This window comes from Homo sapiens, chromosome 2 (assembly GCF_000001405.40).
Source record: "Homo sapiens chromosome 2, GRCh38.p14 Primary Assembly".
Lineage (NCBI taxonomy): Eukaryota > Metazoa > Chordata > Mammalia > Primates > Hominidae > Homo > Homo sapiens.
Window position 1 is genome coordinate 157173832 of NC_000002.12, and position 5260 is coordinate 157179091.

The following is a 5260-nucleotide window of genomic DNA, read 5'->3' on the forward strand; positions in this document are numbered from 1 at the left end:
AAGACATTCCGCAGGCTCTTTCCTTCACTCTATGAATGATTCATGTGTTAAGATCTTAAATACTCACTGAACGAAGGACCTAATGGCTTGAAAACCTGATCTGACGTCAAGGAATTGTGCTGTTTTAGGGACATGCTTCTAAGGCTGGTTGTTTATCCTTGCTCAATCCCAAATCAGAAAGCCCTCTATTAGGCAAGCAGAGAACATGACGGTGTCCCCTTTTTGAGAATCTTTTCTGAGACTCACATTTCTAAAGAGCATTTCAGCTCCGGTGTCAAAATGGGGAAATAGACTTTTGCTGACAACAGTATATTTAAGTCTACACCAGGAAAAGTAAGTGAAAGGTTAATGTTATCATTTCATTTTCCTCCAAGAAAAATAAACCATATTTTAAAAATCACTTTCACCACCTACAGCAAGATCACAAAACAAACTACAATCTACAGGGAGAGGCTGGCAACTAAAATAAGTGGGAATGATCAAGCCAGAGACTTGGTCCAGTCTAAAAGGGTACAGTCCTTACTTAGCTAAATTTCAATGATTTTTAAGGAAGCACATGGAACCAGAATTGCCAGAACTTTCATAAATTCAACAGAAGCCATAAACCTTCATTCTTATGTGAAGTCTCCCACTTTTAAACATCGGTAATTAATTCAGACAAATGTAAACATTGTATAAGCCAAACAAACACATCTGTAGGCCAGATTTGGCCGGTAATGCCAAATTTGCAAAATTTGACCTCTAGCTCTACTTACTATTATTTCATTTAAAACTGTTGTAAATACTTTGGAGAAAAATTAAATGGAGCTTAGATTCCTTAAAAAGTCTGTAAAACCCTGTCACAAGACTATAAAATGTCAAGAAAGTGATTTTACTTTATGAAACAGGGGAAGAGTGGAGGCCTTTAGAGATAGAAAGTTAGGAGTTAAAATCTTGGCTCAACTGTCTCCTAGCTGTGGGAACTAGAAGATGTTACTCAAATCCTCTGAACATACGTTTGTGAAACGGTGAGAATATTCCTTTCCTATATGTAGTTTATAATTATATAATTACATAGTTCCTAGCATGTAGTAGGGACTTAATAAATTATGACTATTTATATTAGTATAATTTTCAGGATCATTTTAATAATAAACCTATAAAGATTATTAAGGAAACTAATACTATTAGCTTGTATTTATTGAGCTCTCATTATAATATAGGCACAGATCTTGTCCTGACACTTTTAATCATGAAAACAATCCTATGAAGGAAGTTCTATTATTAACTCCACTTTACACACAAGAAAACTAAGGACCAGCATGGCTTATTATCCAACCCAAGATGACACAAATAATAAGAGGCTGTGGGGAGACCGGGAAGGATTCAAAGGCTTCCTGCTATAGCATCTGAACTATTTACCATTACAATAAATCAAAAAGTATGCTATATTCAAATTAATATTTGAGTTTGTTCCAAGCAATAAAGGTCTTGGGATTGTGAAAAGCATTTTAACAAAGAGGAAACGTACTCTAGTCTTACTGCAAAAGACCACCCTAAGCAATTTAAGGTAAATGCTTCTTTTTTAAACTTGGAAGGAAAAATCCAGATTTGCTCTGAACACTGCATGATAATCTCTGGAAGTTAGATAAATGTCTCTTCTTTGTATGCACTTATATAACTTTAAATCTCTTAACTTGATATAAATTGAATCACTTAATATGTGTAATTTGTAATTAGTTAAGAATTATTTGATAGCACTTATAAATAATTAGCTTTAGAAAAAGCACAGGGGTCCATAAAAAAGCATAGATTCTCTTTATGAAGGCAGAAAACTTTGGGTAGACTAGCCAATTTCCATTGTCTTTCTTTTCTTTTTACCAGAACCTCAATTTTGCTAGCTTCTCACCTCTTCCTATCATGATAGGGAAGTTGAGTTCATCCCCAGTTGCAGAGTTGGGTCCTGGTTCATCCACAAATAGCTCCCTCCTGGTGTCTCCTACAGGTTTAGGGACAGGGATGTAGCCTGACTAAAAGGAAAGACTTGCATTCTGTGCTTGACATAAAACGTTCATCTCTGGCTTTTGCAGACTGGGAACAAGAAGACCTGCAGGGTCAACTGACATGAGGAACTACTTCCCCCTTGAAAATGCAAGAAGAACCAGTCTCGGCATAAGGTAGACACCTAATATAGCAGAGGAGAAGGTCAGAAATAACAGAAGGTTTGCATGAAATTATTGAATCAAAGCTCACCAAACATCTTGGTCATTAGTTTTATGAGACAGTAAACCACGATACTATCATCAGTGTTTTTTGTTTCTGATATGGTTTGGCTGTGTGTCCCCACTCAATGCCAGCCCGTGAAAGCAGCTGGGAGGGAGGCTATACCCTGCAAAGCCACAGGGGCGGAGCTGCCCAAGACCATGGGAAACCACCTCTTGCATCAGCATGACCTGGATATGAGACATGGAGTCAAAGGAGATCATTTTGGAGCTTAAGATTTGACTGCCCTGCTGGATTTCAGACATGCATGGGGCCTGTAGCCCCTTTGTTTCAGCCAATTCCTCCCATTTGGAATGGCTGTATTCACCCAATGCCTGTATTCACTCAATGCCTGTATCCCCATTGTATCTAGGAAGTAACTAACTCGCTTTTGATTTTACAGCTCATAGGCAGAAGGTATTTGCCTTGTCTCAGATGAGACTTTGGACTGCGGACTTTTGAGTTAATGCTGAAATGAGTTAAGACTTTAGGGGACTGTTGGGAAGGCATGACTGTTTTCGAAATGTGAGGACATGAGATTTGGGAGGGGTCAGGGTGGAATGCTATGGTTTGGCTCTGTGTCCCCACCCAGATCTCGAATTGTACTCCCATAATTCCCACGTGTTGTGGGAGGGACCCAGTGGGAGATAATTGAATCATGGTGGTGGTTTCCCCTATACTGTTCTCATGGTAGATGAATCAGTCTCTTGAGATCTGATGGTTAGATAAGGGAAAATCCATTTTGCTTGGCTCTCATTCTCTTTCTTTGCCTGCTGCCATCCATGTAAGATGTGACTTGCTCCTCCTTGCCTTCCACCATGATTGTGATGTCTCCCCAGCCATGTGGAACTGTAAGTCCATTAAACATTTTTCCTGTAAAAATTACCGAGTTTTGGATATGTCTTTATCTGCAGCATGAAAACAGACTAATACAGTTACTTATAGTCAAAATCTTTCTAAATGATAGATTGTAGTGTTCATATACTATATGATTAATAAATACTTGTAGAATTTAAAATTATTCAATATATTGGTTCATTCTATTAACTCTGTCTATAGGAAACCAAAGCACTCAGATCCCATGGCTATGGCCCAGCTACTACTATTTTCCTTGTGGTCAGATATAGCCCATAGTATCTAAAGAGAGCCTAAACAGCCTCTGCAAAATTATCCTACTAATTTCAACCTTAGCCAGCGAAGGAATATTTCCCACAATTTAAATCAATATGCCAGCATTGTGGCTGTATCTTCTTGTCCTTGGAGGCAAAAATATTTATTTCTGTCAATTAGTAAGTTCCATGAGGTGAGAAATCACCTTTTAAAATATTTTCCAAATGCAATTAATACTTTCGGTCTCCCAAAAGTATTTGAGAACAGAAACCAGATAAATTTTCTTAATCACATGCCAAAGAAAAAAAATCAAACCAGAAATTGTATTAATTATTATCTTTTAGTTTAATCATGATTCTCAGCCCTGGTAGAACAGAATTATCTGCACAACTTTTAAAGAATATCTCTACTTCATCTGCACCCCCAGAAGTTCATTTTTCGTTGGTTTAGACTGGAACTTAGAGATAATTAGTTGACTAAAGTTTTCAGGTGATTTTAATTACAGCCCAGATTATAACACAGTAGTTGAAGCTGTGTAAGAAGAAACCTCAAAGCTAAATTGTTCTTTTTGCTTTAGGTAAACCGTCAGTGTGTTTCCATGTAAGTATAACACATTTCTACTTTTTGTATATATTTTCAAAAGCCTCAAATAGTTCTTGGCATTACAGGATCACTTGCAAACAATTAGCTATAGCATCAAAGATATTGAATGGCTACTCAAACATCAAAGATTTTTTTTTCCATATTTGAAAGCATATGAAAAAAATCTAGAGCAAATTTCATGAAGATGTTTTCCTGTCTACAACTCTGAGTCATTAAAAGAAATGCTTTGGGCCAGGTGCAGTGACTCACGCCTATAATCCCAGCAGTTTCGAAGGCCAAGGTCGGAGTATCACTTTAGGCCATGAGTTCAAGACCAGCCTGGGCAACATAGTGAGATCCTGTCTCTAATAAAAATAAAAAGATTAGCCAGACATTGTGGTGCATGCCTATAGTCCTAGCTACTCGAAGGGCTAATGTGGGAAGATCCCTTCACCAGGAGTTTGACTATATCAGGTGCTTATTAAAAGTAAAATTTCTGGGCAGATCTCTGATCTAAGAAATCAGAACCTCTGGTATAAAGCTCAAGAATGACAGTTCAAACAAGACTGCAGATGATTCTAACATATACCAATGAACTCTAAACTTTGAGAATCACAAAAATTCCATCCAGTCAGATGCCCTATTCAAAAAATTCTTGAATTTTTTTCTTTTTTTTCTTTACGTACTCCCTTTTGACCCATTAAGAGTCATATCTGAGCCGGACGCGGTGGCTCACGCCTGTAATCCCAGCACTTTGGGAGGCTGAGGAGGGCGGATCACGAGGTCAAGAGATCGAGACCATTCTGGCCAACATGATGAAACCCCATCTCTACTAAAAATACAAAAATTAGCTGGGCATGGTGGTGTGCACCTGTAGTCCCAGCTACTTGGGAGGCTGAGGCAGGAGAATGGACTGAACCCGGGAGGAGGTGAAGCTTGCAGTGAGCCGAGATCGCGCCACTGCACTCCAGCCTGTGTGACAGAGCAAGACTCCGTCCAAAAAAAAAAAAAATCATATCTAGCAAAAACAAACAAACAAATAAACAACAAAAACAACGCTTACTCTTCCCATAATCTTTGATGTTAATTTGCCAGAGGGTTGAATTATTAGGTTTGTGCAAAAGTAATTGTGGTTTTTGACATGATTTTCAATGGCAAAAACTGCAATCACTTTTGCACCAACTTAATATCTATTCTTTGTAATAACCTCTTCCAGAATAGCTAAAAGGCCAGGCTCCTCTGAGCCATCCTTGAGTCAACTTAAGATGCAGACACCTTTTTCTAATTGGTGTTGCCAGCAGGGGGCACTTGTTTTGAATCTGACCCC